Below are 14,344 nucleotides of genomic sequence, written 5' to 3'. Positions count from 1 at the left end.
GTTTTTAAATCTATTTAAAAAATTATTCTTATTTTAAATTATTAGTTTTTAGAGACAGGGTCTTGTTCTGCCACCCAGGCTGGAGTGCAGTGGCGTGATCATAACTCACTGCAACCTCCAACTCCTTGGGTCAAGCAATTCTCTCATCTCAGCCTCCCAAGTAGCTGGGACTATAGATGTGCACCACCATACTGAACTAATTTTTCAATTTTTATTTTTAATAAAGTCAAGGTATGTCATCCAAGCGGGTCTTCAACGCCTGGCCTCAAGTGATTCTCCAGTCTAAGCCTCCCAAAGTGCTGAGATTACAGATGTGAGCCACGACACCTGGCCCTTAATCTGTTTTTGAAATGAAATGCCAACTGAACATAAATGAGATTTCTGTGTGGTTTTAGAAATTACTCCAGCTTTCTAAAAATGTTATAGTAGTATTTCTTTTTCTTCATGCTGATTATCCTTTTTTGTTATATATGGTACAGAGTTATTTTGAGGCTTTATTATTTACCTTGTGTATTGAACATTGTCCTGCTTATACATGGTGATCTTGTCTGTTCATCCTGTCTGATCCCCAGTCCATTGTTCTCATAGCACATATCCTCCTGTGTATGATACCATAATTTTTTTGAGTACTAAATTGTTTTTTTTTGTTTTATTATTATTATACTTTTAAGTTCCAGGGTACATGTGCACAACGTGCGGGTTTGTTACATAGGTATACATGTGCCATGTTGGTTTGCTGCACCCATCAACTCGTCATTTACATTAGGTGTTTCTCCTAATGCTATCCCTCCCCCAGCCCCCTGACTTCCCGACAAGCCCTGGTGTGTGATGTTCGCTGCCCTGTGTCCAAGTGTTCTCATTGTTCAATTCCCACCTATGAGTGAGAACATGCGGTGTTTAGTTTTCTGTCCTTGGGATGGTTTGCTGAGAATGATGGTTTCCAGCTTCATTTGTGTCCCTGCAAAGGACATGAACTCCTCCTTTTTTATGGCTGCATAGTATTCCATGGTGTATCTGTGCCACATTTTCTTAATCCAGTCTATCACGGATGGACATTTGGGTTGGTTGCAAGTCTTTGCTATTGTGAATAGTACTGCAATAAACATATGTATCCATGTGTCTTTATAGTAGCATGATTTATAATCCATTGGGTATATACCCAGTAATGGGATGGCTGGGTCAAATGTATTTCTAGTTATAGATCCTGGAGGAATCACCACACTGTCTTCCACAATGATTGAACTAATTTACACTCCCACCAACAGTGTAAAAGCATTCCTATTTCTCCACATCCTCTCCAGCACTTGTTGTTTCTTGACTTCTTAATGATCGCCATTCTAACTGGCGTGAGATGGTATCTCACTGTGGTTTTGATTTGCATTTCTCTAATGACCAGTGACGATGAGCATTTTTTCATGTCTGTTGGTTGCATAATTGTCTTCTTTTGAGAAGTGTCTGTTCATATCCTTTGCCCAATTTTGATGGGGTTGTTTGTTTTTTCTTGTAAATTTGTTTGAATTCATTGTAGATTCTGGATATTAGCCCTTTGTCAGATGAGTAGATTGCAAAAATTCTCTCCCATTCTGTAGGTTGCCTGTTCACTCTGATGGTAGTTTCTTTTGCTGTGCAGAAGCTCTTTAGTTTAATTAGATCCCATTTGTCTGTTTTGGCTTTTGTTGCCATTGCATTTGGTGTTTTAGTCATGAAGTCTTTACACATGCCTATGTCTTGAATGGTACTGCCTAGGTTTTCTTCTAGGGTTTTTATGGCTTTAGGTCTTACATTTAAGTTTTTAATCCATCCTGAATTAATTTTTGTATAAGGTGTAAGGAAGGGATCCAGTTTCAGCTTTCTACATATGGCTAGCCAGTTTTCCCAGCACCATTTATCAAATAGGGAATCCTTTCCCTATTTCTTGTTGTCAGGTTTGTCAAAGATCAGATGGTTATAGATGTGTGGTGTTACTTCTGAGGGCTCTATTCTGTTCCATTGGTCTATATCTCTTGGTACCAGTACCATGCTGTTTTGGTTACTGTAGCCTTGTAGTATAGTTTGAAGTCAGGTAGCATGATGCTGCCAGCTTTGTTCTTTTTGCTTAGGATTGTCTTGGCAATGAGGGCACTTTTTTGGTTCCATATGAACTTTAAAGTAGTTTTTTCCAATTCTGTGAAGAAAGTCATTGGTTGCTTGATGGGGATGGCATTGAATCTGTAAATTACCTTGGGCAGTATGGCCATTTTCACGATATTGATTCTTCCTATCCATGAGCATAGAATGTTCTTCCATTTGTTTGTGTCCTCTTTTATTTGGTTGAGCAGTGGTTTGTAGTTCTCCTTGAAGAGGTCCTTCACATCCCTTGTAAGTTGGATTCCTAGGTATTTTATTCTCTTTGAAGCAATTGTGAATGGGAGTTCACTCATGATTTGGCTCTCTGTTTGTCTGTTATTGGTGTATAAGAATGCTTGTGATTTTTGCCCATTGATTTTGTATCCTGAGACTTTGCTGAAGTTGCTTATCAGCTTAAGGAGATTTTGGGCTGAGACGATGTGGTTTTCTAAATATACAATCATGTCATCTGCAAACAGGGACAGTTTGACTTCCTCTTTTCCTAATTGAATACTGTTATTTCTTTCTCTTGCCTGATTGCCCTGGCTAGAACTTCCAACACTACATTGAATAGGAGTGGTGAGAGACGGCATCCTTCTCTTGTGTCGGTTTTCAAAGGGAATGCTTCCAGTTTTTGCCCATTCAGTATGATATTGGCTGTGGGTTTGTCATAAATAGCTCTTATTATTTTGAGATACGTTCCATCAATACCTAGTTTATTGAGAGTTTCTAGCATGAAGGGCTGTTGAATTTTGTCGAAGGCCTTTTCTGCATCTATTGAGATAATCATGTGGTTTTTGCCGTTGGTTCTTTTTATGTGATGGATTGCGTTTATTGATTTGCATATGTTGAGCCAGCCTTGCATCCCAGGGATGAAGCCGACTTGATCGTGGTGGATAAGCTTTTTGATATGCTGCTGCATTTGGTTTTCTGGTATTTTATTGAGGATTTTTGCATCAATGTTCATCAAGGATATTGGTCTAAAATTCTCTTTTTTTGTTGTGTCTCTGCCAGGCTTTGGTATCAGGATGATGCTGTCCTCATAAAATGAGTTAGGGAGGATTCCCTCTTTTTCTATTGATTGGAATAGTTTCAGAAGGAATGGTATCAGCCATTCAGAGGAATGGTACCAGCTCCTTTTTGTACCTCTGGTAGAATTCGGCTGTGAATCCGTCTGTTCCTGGACTTTTTTTGGTTGGTAGGCTATTAATTATTGCCTCAATTTCAGAGCCTATTATTGGTGTGTTCAGAGATTCAACTTCTTCCTGGTTTAGTCCAATTTATTCGTTTCTTCTGGATTTTCTAGTTTATTTGCATAGAGGTGTTTATAGTATTCTCTGATGGTAGTTTGTATTTCTGTAGGATTGGTGGTGATACCCCCTTTATCACTTCTTATTGTGTCTGTTTGATTCTTCTCTCTCTTCTTCTTTATTAGTCTTGCTAGCAGTGTAGCCATTTTGTTGCTGTGTTCAAAAAACCAGCTCCTGGATTCATTGATTTTTTGAAGGGTTTTTTGTGTCTCTATTTCCTTCAGTTCTGCTCTGATCTTAGTTATTTCTTGCCTTCTGCTAGCTTTTGAATGTGTTTGCTCTTGCTTCTCTAGTTCTTTTAATTGTGCTGTTAGGGTGTCGATTTTAGATCTTTCTGCTTTCTCTTGTGGGCATTTAGTGCTATAAATTTCCCTCTACACACTGCTTTAAATGTGTCCCAGAGATTCTGGTATGTTGTGTCTTTGTTCTCATTGGTTTCAAAGAACATCTTTATTTCTGCCTTCATTTCGTTATTTACCCAATAGTCATTCAGGAGCAGGTTGTTCAGTTTCCATGTAGTTGTGCAGTCTTGAATGAGTTTGTTAATCCTGAGTTCTAGTTTGATTGCACTGTGCTCTGAGAGACAGTTTGTGATTTCTGTTCTTTTACATTTGCTGAGGAGTGCTTTACTTCGAATTATGTGGTCAATTTTAGAATAAGTGTGATGTCGTGCTGAGAAGAATGTATATTCTGTTGATTTGGGGTGGAGAGTTCTGTAGATGTCTATTAGGTCCACTTGGTCCAGAGCTGAGTTCAATTCCTGGATATCCTTGTTAGCCTTCTGTCATGTTGATCTGTCTATTATTGACAGTGGGGTGTTTAAGTCTCCCATTATTATTGTGTGGGAGTCTAAGTCTCTTTGTATGTCTCTAAGGACTTGCTTTATGAGTCTGCGTGCTCCTGTGTTGAGTGCATATATATTTAGGATAGTTAGCTCTTCTTGTTGCATTGATTCCTTTACCATTATGTAATGTCCTTCCTTGTCTGTTTTGATCTTCCTTCGTCTAACGTCTGTTTTATCAGAGACCTGGATTGCAACCCCTGCTTTTTTTTTTTTTTTTTTGGCTTTTCGTTTGCTTGGTAGATCTTCCTCTATCCCTTTATTTTGAGCCTATGTGTGTTTCTGCAGGTGAGATGGGTCTCCTGAATACAGCACACTGATGGGTCTTGACTCTTTATCCAGTTTACCAGTCTGTCTTTTAATTGGGGCATTTAGCCCATTTACATTTAAGGTTAATATTGTTATGTGTGAATTTGATCCTGTCATTATGTTAGCTGGTTATCTTGCCCGTTAATTGATGCAGTTTCTTCATAGCATTGATGGTCTTCACAATTTGGCATGTTTTTGCCATGGCTGGTACCTTTCCATGTTTAGTGCTTCCTTCAGGAGGAGCTCTTGTAAGGCAGGCCTGGTGGTGACAAAATCTCTCGGCATTTGCATGTCTGTAAAGGATTTTATTTCTCCTTCACTTGTGAAGCTTAGTTTGGCTGGATATGAAATTCTGAGTTGAAAATTATTTTCTTTAAGAATGTCAAATATTAGCCCCCACTCTCTTCTGGCTTGTAGAGTTTCTGCCGAGAGATCCGCTGTTAGTCTGATGGGCTTCCCTTTGTGGGTAACTGACCTTTCTCTCTGACTGCCCTTAATATTTTTTCCTTCATTTCAACCTTGATAAATCTGACAGTTATGTGTCTTGGGGTTGCTCTTCTTGAGGAGCATCTTTGTGGCGTTCTCTGTATTTCCTGAATTTGAATGTTGGCTTGCCTTGCTAGGTTGGGGAAGTCCTCCTGGATAATATCCTAAAGAGTGTTTTCCAACTTGGTTCCATTCTCCCTGACACTTTCAGGTACACCAATCAAACATAGATTGGTCTTTTCACATAGTCCCATATTTCTTGGAGGCTTTGTTCATTTCTTTTTGCTCTTTTTTTCTCTAATCTTGTCTTTTCACTTTATGTCATTAATTTGATCTTCAATCACTGATATCCTTTCTTCCACTTGATCGAATCGGCTATTGAAGCTTGTGCATGCATTATGAAGTTCTCTAGCCATGGTTTTCAGCTCCATCAGGTCATTTAAGATCTTCTCTACACTATTTATTCCAGTTAGCCATTCGTCTAACCTTTTTTCAAGGTTTTTAGCTTCCTTGTGATGGGTTAGAACATCCTCCTTTAGCTCGGAGAAGTTGTTATTACCAGCCTTCTGAAGCCTACTTCTGTGAACTCGTCAAAGTCATTCTCCATCCAACTTTGTTCCATTGCTGGCAAGGAGCTGTGAGCAGTTGGAGGAGAAGAGGTGCTCTGGTTTTTAGAATTTTCGGCTTTTCTGCTCTGGTTTCTCTCCATCTTTGTGGTTTTGTCTACCTTTGGTCTTTGATGTTGGTTACCTACAGATTAAGTTTTGTTGTGGATGTCCTTTTTGTTGATGTTGATGCTACTCCTTTCTTAGTTTTCCTTCTAACAGTCAGGTCCCTCAGCTGCAGGTCTGTTGGAGTTTCCTGGAGGTCCATTCCAGACCCTGTTTGCCTGGGTATCACCAGCAGAGGCTGCAGAACAGCAAATATTGCTGCCTGTTCCTTCCTCTGGAAGCTTCATCCCAGAGGGGCACCCGCCTATATGAGGTGTCTGTTGCCCCTACTAGGAGGTGTCTCCTAGTTAGGCTACACAGGGGTCAGGGACCCACTTGAGGAGGCAGTCTGTCCGTTCTCAGAGCTCAAAGGCTGTGGTGGGAGAACCACTGCTCTCTTCTGAGCTGTCAGACAGTGACATTTCAGTCTGCAGAAGTTATCTGCTGCCTTTTTTTCAGCTATGCCCTGCCCACAGAAGTGGAGTCTATGGAGGCAGTAGGCCTTGCTGAGCTGCAGTGGGCTCCGCCTAGTTTGAGCTTCCCTGTCGCTTTGTTTACCTACTCAAGCCCCAGTAATGGCAGATGCCCCTACCCCCGCCAGGCTGCATGCAGCCTGGCAGGACTATCTCAGACTGCTGCGCTAGCAGTGAGGAAGGCTCTGTGGGCATGGGACCCGCTGAGCCAGGCACGGGATGGAATCTCCTGGTGTGTCGTTTACTAAGACCTTGGGAAAAGCGCCGTATTTTGGCAGGAGTGTCCCGTTTTTCCAGGTAGTCTGTCACGGCTTCCCTTGGCTAGGAAAGGGAAATCCCCTGACCCCTTGAGCTTCCCAAGTGAGGTGCTCACCCTCCGTGGGCTGCACCTACTGTCCAACCAGTCCCAATGAGATCGACCAGGTACCTCATTTGGAAATGCAGAAATCACCCGTCTTCTGTGTCAGTCATGCTAGGAGCTGCAGACCGGAGCTGTTCATATTCGGCCATCTTGGAATGGGAGTCTTGAGACTAAATTGTTTACTTTTAAAGGTTATAAAACATAAAGGGCAATCTCTGTTTATCTTGCTAGAGCAGCATGATATTGTTGAAGGATTTTGGAGTCAGACTGATGCAGATTCAAATTCTGGTCTGCCATGTAACTGTTCATCTCGAGCAACTCCATTATACTCTTGAGCCATGGTTTTCTCATCTGAAAAATTGGGTGAATACTGTTAAAATAAAAATCTTAGAAAAAATAAATTTAAAGTTTATTTAAATGAAAAACAATTCATGAATCAGGCAGCACTCAGAATCAGAAGCGGGTGAGAGAGCTCTTCCCAGCAATTTGTAAGTAATGAGCTTTTGTAGGCTGAATATGGAAGCAAAGTAGAGAAATCACCCAACTGACTACCCTTATGTGTGTGTTTGCCTAATTTGGTCATGGTGTGAAGAATTGGCTGTCTGATTCATTGAAACTGCTCTTTGTTGCAAAATATATACTCCCAAGTTAGGTTGAAGTTTGTTACAGAGGAACTCAAAAGTATAGTGACAGTCTCAGGCTAATGGCCTCCTGTTTGCTTAATTTAACAATGCTTATAACAGTGTCACCGTTAAGTCAGACTTTGCACAGAGGATTGAGCATAATGCTTGTTACCTAGTATATCCTAAATAAATTGTGTTTCAGGTCTCTTGTTATTTTCTAGAGTGCAGCGTTGTCTTTAATACTTATTTGTCAAATGAATGGTGTCTGAAATTAAAGCCTATAATACAATTCATTGAATGTATTGAGTACATGCTATAAGACAACTGCCATGCTTGGTGCTATGGAACAAGCCTACTGTCAGGAAGTTTACAATTTAATTGGAAAAAATTGGACACATGGATATTAAAGAACTGTAAAAGAGATATCATTAAAATTGAACTCAGCAGTTTTATAAGATGGATTCCTCAGAACCTTGGCTACTAGCAAAAGTATCACTATATCCCTAAATAAATTAAGCTCAAGTTAGTTGCTTTTCACTTGGCCTCTATTTTTAGGCGTGTTAAAGAATGGAACAGTGTAAATGAAACATTAACCACTGTTAGCTATTGTTTATAACATCTTGACCAACACTTTGAGCTTAATGACAAGTGATGCTTGATGAGGACTTCTTGCTTGATGCCGGTAAAGCTGATTATTGTTGCTTTCAAAGGGATTGCTAATTTATTTTTTGATTTTTCTAGAATAAATTAGATATTATTCTTAAGTTAGGGCTTATTGGTATTAAGGAAGATAATCAGTATAATAATAAAGTATCAAGAGAGTGATAGACCTATAATAACGTTGCAGAGTTTTCTGGCACTAGATTCGTAGTAGGATACTATTAAGTTTTTTTTAAAAAAACTTTAATTCCAATTGGTTTTAAATTATTCTTCATACAGTGCCGTTTTGTGAAAGAGAATGAATAGTGTTTTGTTTTTTAAGTTTCTGAGAAATCTGTGTAGTGTTTTTCTTTGTGAAATGACATGCCTCTTTAGGTAATGTTATTGTGGAAAGAGTATAGGTCTAGAAGCCCAGGTACCTGAGTTCTAGTTTCACCTGTGCTTAGATTACTTGCTTTTCTCATCTACAGAGTTCTTTTTGGATTCATGCTCTTCCAAACTGTACAACTTATTTGGGCATTTCTTTTCTTCTCTTTTCTTTCTTTCTTTCTTTTTTTTTTTTTTCGAGACGGGGTTTTGCTCTTGTTACCCAGGCTGGAGTGCAGTGGGGCATTCTTGGCTCACTGCAACTTCTGCCTCCCGGGTTCAAGTGATTCTCCTGCCTTAGCCTCCCAAGTAGCTGGGATTACAGGCACCGGCTACCATGCCCAGCTAATTTTGTATTTTTAATAGAGACAGGGTTTCACCATGTTGGCCAGGCTGGTCTGGAACTCCTGACCTCAGGTGATCCACCTACCCCGGCCTCTCAAAGTGCTGGGATTACAGGTGTGAGCCACCATGCCTGGCCCTGGGCATTTCTTAAGAATCAGCTGTTAACATTAATTTCCCTGGAGTGATAGTTACACAATTCTACTTCTACAAGAAGGAGGGCAATCAGGGAATGAGGCATATGGATAGGAGAGTTCATTCTAGGGCAGATTGAATACCTATCTGCAGAAGCCAAACTGAGTGGGTTGATAAAATGAAGATCGAAAGCTAGATAGTATTTTTGGCTAATAACCCCACTTCATGTTCCCTTTTTCCCCAGATTCTCTTACATTGGTTTTACTTTTCTCCTTCCTTCCTTTTAATTTTTTTTTTTTTTACAAAGTATTACAAGTGTGCCATAAAATGTACTTTTGTTCTGACTCTTGAGGTTCTTTTGGATTAAGAAGCCTAGAGACTTGGATGTGTGTGGTAGGAAGAAGGTCAGGCTAAAGTTGCAAATGGTCAAGTTAAGGTGGAGAGAGGGATTAGGAAGTGAATGTAAGAAAAAAAAAAAAAGCAGAAGCCTGACTAGTAGTTACTTATCCCCAAAATATTATGACTTATTTTAGGAAATGTGACACAAATTCAGTTCTAAAATTTAATAGGTCACATTCTGGTCTACGTAGTGAAAGCATGGCTTAACATTGAGAAAGTTTTTGTGATTATGAAGATGTATTTCATATTCTCTTGTCTTAATTTTTAAAAGTGATACTCTTCCATTGACTCATATTAACTATCCATAATTCATAGAGAAAGACTTTAAAAAGATTGTATTTTTAACTTGTTTCTATTTCCACACAGTCATGGTCAGAGAGATACAGCACAGATCCTACTATTACGAGGAGCCAAATATCTGCCAGATAAAAATGGAGTAACTCCTCTGGATTTATGTGTACAGGTGTGTTTTTCATTTATATTCTGAGCCCCTTATCTTTATAATAGAAACTGGAATGGTAAAAATTATTATTTTTTCAATGAAAGGGTAGGTGCAAAGATTTTTATTGTGTGAAGAATATGAACTTTAAAAGGGACTGTTTTTAAACCTGGATAATTTTAGATCTTGTTTTTAGGGTGGATATGGAGAGACTTGTGAAGTATTAATTCAATATCACCCGAGGCTTTTTCAGACTATTATTCAAATGACACAGAATGAAGACCTCCGAGAAAACATGGTATTGTATTTGTGATAGTAGCTTGTAAATGAAGAAGCTTTATTCCTGCTCAGCATATATGACATTTTACAAATGTGCTTAGCTTAGTAATTTTGCTTATTGTCACAAATATCTTAATAATTAGCTTATCTGCATTATAGGATAAGTGTGAATTAGATAATAATTAATATAGTTTTTGCTAATATTTGGCCATATAAATCTTCTGCCCTCTGGGTCTTTGGTCTCTCCTTAAGATAACTAGAATAGGCTGGGCGTGGTATCTCACGCCTGTAATTCCAGCACTTTGGGAGGCTGAGGTGGGTGGATTGCTTGAGCCCAGGAGTTTGAGACTAGCTTGGGCAACAAAGACCCAGTCTCTTAAAAACAAATTACAAAAATTAGCTAAGTGTAGTGGCATGCATCTGTAGTCTGAGCTACTTGGGAGGCTGAGCTGGGAGGAGGGATTGAGCCCAGGAGGTTGAGCCTGCAGTGAGCCGAGATCATGTCACTGCCCACTACACTCTAGCCTGGGCGATACAGTGATGCTCTATCTTTAAAAAAATAAAAATAAAAATAAAATAATAATATTCCCATGGCAAGAGGAAAAGACTCTGTGGAGGAATATCATTATGATTGGTAATCACTAGTTTACTCAGCTATGTGTTTGTGATAGTTTTAGTCTTAGAAAAATTGCGGAATTTAAATTTCTCTTTCGTTTTAGAGGTTTAGAATTAAATTTCCAAAACTATACTTGGTGATTTTTAAATTCTATCTATATTTACTATTGTTTTGTAACTGGGTGATTTTCAACAAAGATTTTATTATGTATCATCATATCTCTATATTAGCTTTTAAACTTATGCAAGACAAAATAACTAAAGGACTTGATTTAGACTAATTGGCTTTAAGATACTTAATAGGTACTTAATTGTTTGATAAGATTTAATGGATTACTATGTAATCACATTTTTTTATTTGTAAAAAATTTAGTTACGGCAAGTTCTGGAGCATTTGTCTCAGCAAAGTGAAAGCCAGTACCTAAAGATTCTAACAAGCCTTGCTGAAGTTGCTACAACAAATGGTCATAAACTGCTTAGGTAAGTGTTTCGCAATAAGAGGAAATCAATAGGTAGCAGTGTCTGTTGGCTTCACCTCCTGAGTAGTTTATTCTGTGGGATACCTTTTGTCAGTGATAACGATGTTATAAAAATTTGCTGACTTCTGGTTTGTTTTGTTTGAAAGGACCAGGGTAATCAACTATTGCTAAAGAGATTTTAGTCTCTCTAAAGAGACTAAAAATAGAGCATACTTCAGTGAATTTGGGCATATGTGTCTAGAATTTTGTGAAATGATTACTTACCTAGACATATAAGTAAATGTACATGAAGAAGAATTGAGAAAGTTCAGGAATCTTGACCACTAATTAATAAAATAAAATTAGGTACAAGCTACTGTTTAACCTTTCATTGTACTTTCATGACTCCTTATAAAGTTTTTTTCTCTGACCTGTCCCCCTCAGTTAAGTTCTTTATTATTTCTAAAAGATCCTGTGGTTTTATCATCACTAAGTTCGTGGAGTTAATGCCTTATATTACTTGAATTTATATATGAAGTGTTTTCCTGTAGCTACACTTCTTTCTATGTGGCTGGCTACCCCAATTAGGAATAAGCAGCCACTGAGAAATGATTATTGTCTTATTATTTCTTAGCCTGCAAGAAATTGTATATATGTATACACACACACACACACATATATACAATTATTTTTTTTTTTTTGAGACAGAGTCTCGCTCTCACTCTGTTACCCAGGCAGCACAATCTTGGCTCACTGCAACCTCCACCTCCCAGGTTCAAGCAATTCTCCTGCCTCAGCCTCCCAAGTAGCTGGGATTACAGGCACACACCACCACGCCCGGCTAATTTTTTGTATTTTCAGTAGAGATGGGGTTTTGCCATGTTGCCCAGGCTGGTCTTGAACTCCTGAGCTCTGGCAATCCGCTCATCTCGGCCTCCCAAAGTGCTGGGATTACAGGCGTGCGCCAATGCGCCTGGCCAAATACATATTTTTGAGGGCGTACCATCCATTAGGCCATCTGTGAGGTGATCATGAATAAAACAGACAAGATCTCTATGTTGAAATTACAGTCTAATCAGGATTTTATTGGATTTTATTCCATTTTGTTGGAAACTGGCAATATCTTTATGAGTTGTGAGAGTGAAATAAGATAATTCTGTAAAATGCAAAACAGTGGGTCCAGTATATAGTAGAGGTGATGATGGTTATAATTTTAAGTACCCTATAATACCATTTAACCTGTTTTCCTACATTAGAAAACTTATTTTTTCTTCTTAAATATTTGTCATATTATATATACTTCCACAGTAATTATAAAGCATTTATGTTTTGATGTATCTATGTTTTTAAGTTTACCTTCATCACTTATTAAGCAGGTACCAAGCTAAGGAGCATTCGAATATATTATTTCATTTATACCTTACAGTAACTTTATAATTTAGATGTTATCTCCATTTTACATGTAAAAAAATTGAAGTTAAATGATTTGCCAAGCTAATAAATAAACCTGGATTTATATCCTCATTAGTAAATAGCGGATTCTAGGTTCTAATCTAGCTTCTAAAAATGACAGGGGTGGTTGGTGGGACAGGAGAAACAGGGTAGGAAAAAGGAACCCATGACCAAAACAATAGTAGTTTTTAAAAAATTACTCTGCTAAACTGTGCTCTCTCACCACTTATGGTGCTACCTTCCAAGTGCTTTATAGAATCTTATTTTTATGGCCATTTTTGGCCTGTAAATATCTCATTGTTGGGGTTGGTAGTGAGTATTGGTTATTAGTTAGAATTTATTGTACTGTAAAAAGGTAATTCTTAAGATGATTTCAAATACAAATTGTTTCCCCCTGCTGATTTATGTTTAATGGTATTTTTGTAGAGTATCTCATTTGTGTTTATTTGTGAATCATTTTATGTTTCTTAACCCATTATGTGAAGTAATGTTGACCCTTGTTTTAATAGAAATTTTCATTAAGAAAATAACTGATTCAAATATATGTTAATTAGTGACAACTAAGGTGTTATCCAGCACACTTTTGGAAAAATTTGTAGCCTATTATCTAACTGATTTCAGGAATATTTGCTAAAGATAATAAACATTTACTGAGGCGTTTGCACATAATGCTATGTTTATATTGAAATGAAATTTTATCGTCCTTTCTATATATTTATGATTGAAAGTAAAGGTAGTTAACAATGTGGAAATGAACAGAGAAATCATAGCTATATGCTAAGTAAGACACTGAATAAGAATATACCCATATAAACCAAAGGCGAGGATTTTACAATGATAGGGGTTTGAGTTAGGAAATTAATTTTTTTTTTTTTTTTTTTTGAGATGTAGTCTCGCTCTATCGCCCAGGCTGGAGTGCAGTGGCGCGATCTCGGCTTACTGCGAGCTCCACCTCCCGGGTTCATGCCATCCTCCTGCCTCAGCCTCCCAAGTAGCTGGGACTACATGGGCCTGCCACCACGCCCGGCTAATTTTTTGTATTTTTAGTAGAGACGGGGTTTCACTGTGTAGCCAGGATGGTCTCGATCTCCTGACCTCGTGATCTGCCTGCCTCGGCCTCCCAAAGTGCTGGGATTACAGGCGTGAGCCACCACGCCCGGCAAAAGCAACTATTTTAAAGGAAGGGGCCGGGGAAGAAGAGAGCTCCGTGCTTCTAATGAGCAAAGGCAGCAACAACCTTGAGCTTCTGCAGCCCTTGGTATTTATTGGGTAGAAAGAGCAGGGAGGAGGAGCAAATGATTGGTCAGCTGCTTGATTGATCACAGCTTCATATTATTGCTAACAGGCTTCAGATGTACCTAATCACAAGAAATACTTATGCCTGGGTCGTGACTGCCCTCAGCATTCCTTCTGGGTGGCAGATGCAGTTTTTCAGTTTGCCAGCATCCTGCATTTATGAGAACAGTTGGCTGTTTACTCATATAGCCTCCAGTGGTATACTGAGTTGATCATGACCTTCACCCTTTTGGCCTCCAACATACAAAGTTAATCCTGCTGTTCTGCGCAGAAGTTCATGCAACTCTTTGCTTTGCTCCGACATTTGTGATACAAGATAACTGATGTTAGAGATTTCAAAATAAAACCACCATCAACCAACAAAAATACTGTGTTTAAAGATATATTATTAGATTCAATACAAATTTAGCCTAACTCGTACAGTTTTTCTGTGGAAAGGTAATTATTGGTATTCATGATGTTGACCAATACCAAGGTAACTGTGGGATTCTGAAGGGCTTTCTGATCAGTAAAAGTGAGTTTATGTTAATTTAATATGATTTAGTGTTAATTGAATTTTAGTCTTTTCTTTTTTCATGGTAGGCAAATATTTCCTATATTTGTGTATAGTCATAAGGCAGCCCGTTACGTAGAGAACAAACCTAATGCAGATAGCAACTTTTAAATTTTTCAATTTGTGAATGT

General features: G+C 38.4%; 1 protein-coding gene across 18 annotated transcripts in view; it reads left to right on the top strand.

Moving 5' to 3' along the window:
- HACE1 (HECT domain and ankyrin repeat containing E3 ubiquitin protein ligase 1) overlaps window positions 1-14,344 on the top strand; it is a 131,826-nt gene that overhangs the window by 53,407 nt on the left and 64,075 nt on the right. For all 18 annotated transcript variants that reach the window (NR_146787.2, NR_146789.2, NR_146790.2 and 15 more), the window contains 3 exons: window positions 9,488-9,584; window positions 9,757-9,858; window positions 10,828-10,934. Coding sequence is in view for 11 of the 18 variants with exons in the window: in NM_001350555.2 (NP_001337484.1) it covers window positions 9,488-9,584; window positions 9,757-9,858; window positions 10,828-10,934 (306 nt within the window). In the remaining 7 variants the exon portion in view is untranslated. The remainder of the gene's footprint in view (window positions 1-9,487; window positions 9,585-9,756; window positions 9,859-10,827; window positions 10,935-14,344) is intronic.

Source organism: Homo sapiens, chromosome 6 (assembly GCF_000001405.40).
Source record: "Homo sapiens chromosome 6, GRCh38.p14 Primary Assembly".
Taxonomy (NCBI): Eukaryota; Metazoa; Chordata; class Mammalia; order Primates; family Hominidae; genus Homo; species Homo sapiens.
Note: the sequence above shows the minus strand (reverse complement) of the source record. Positions and strands in the feature narration are given on the sequence as shown.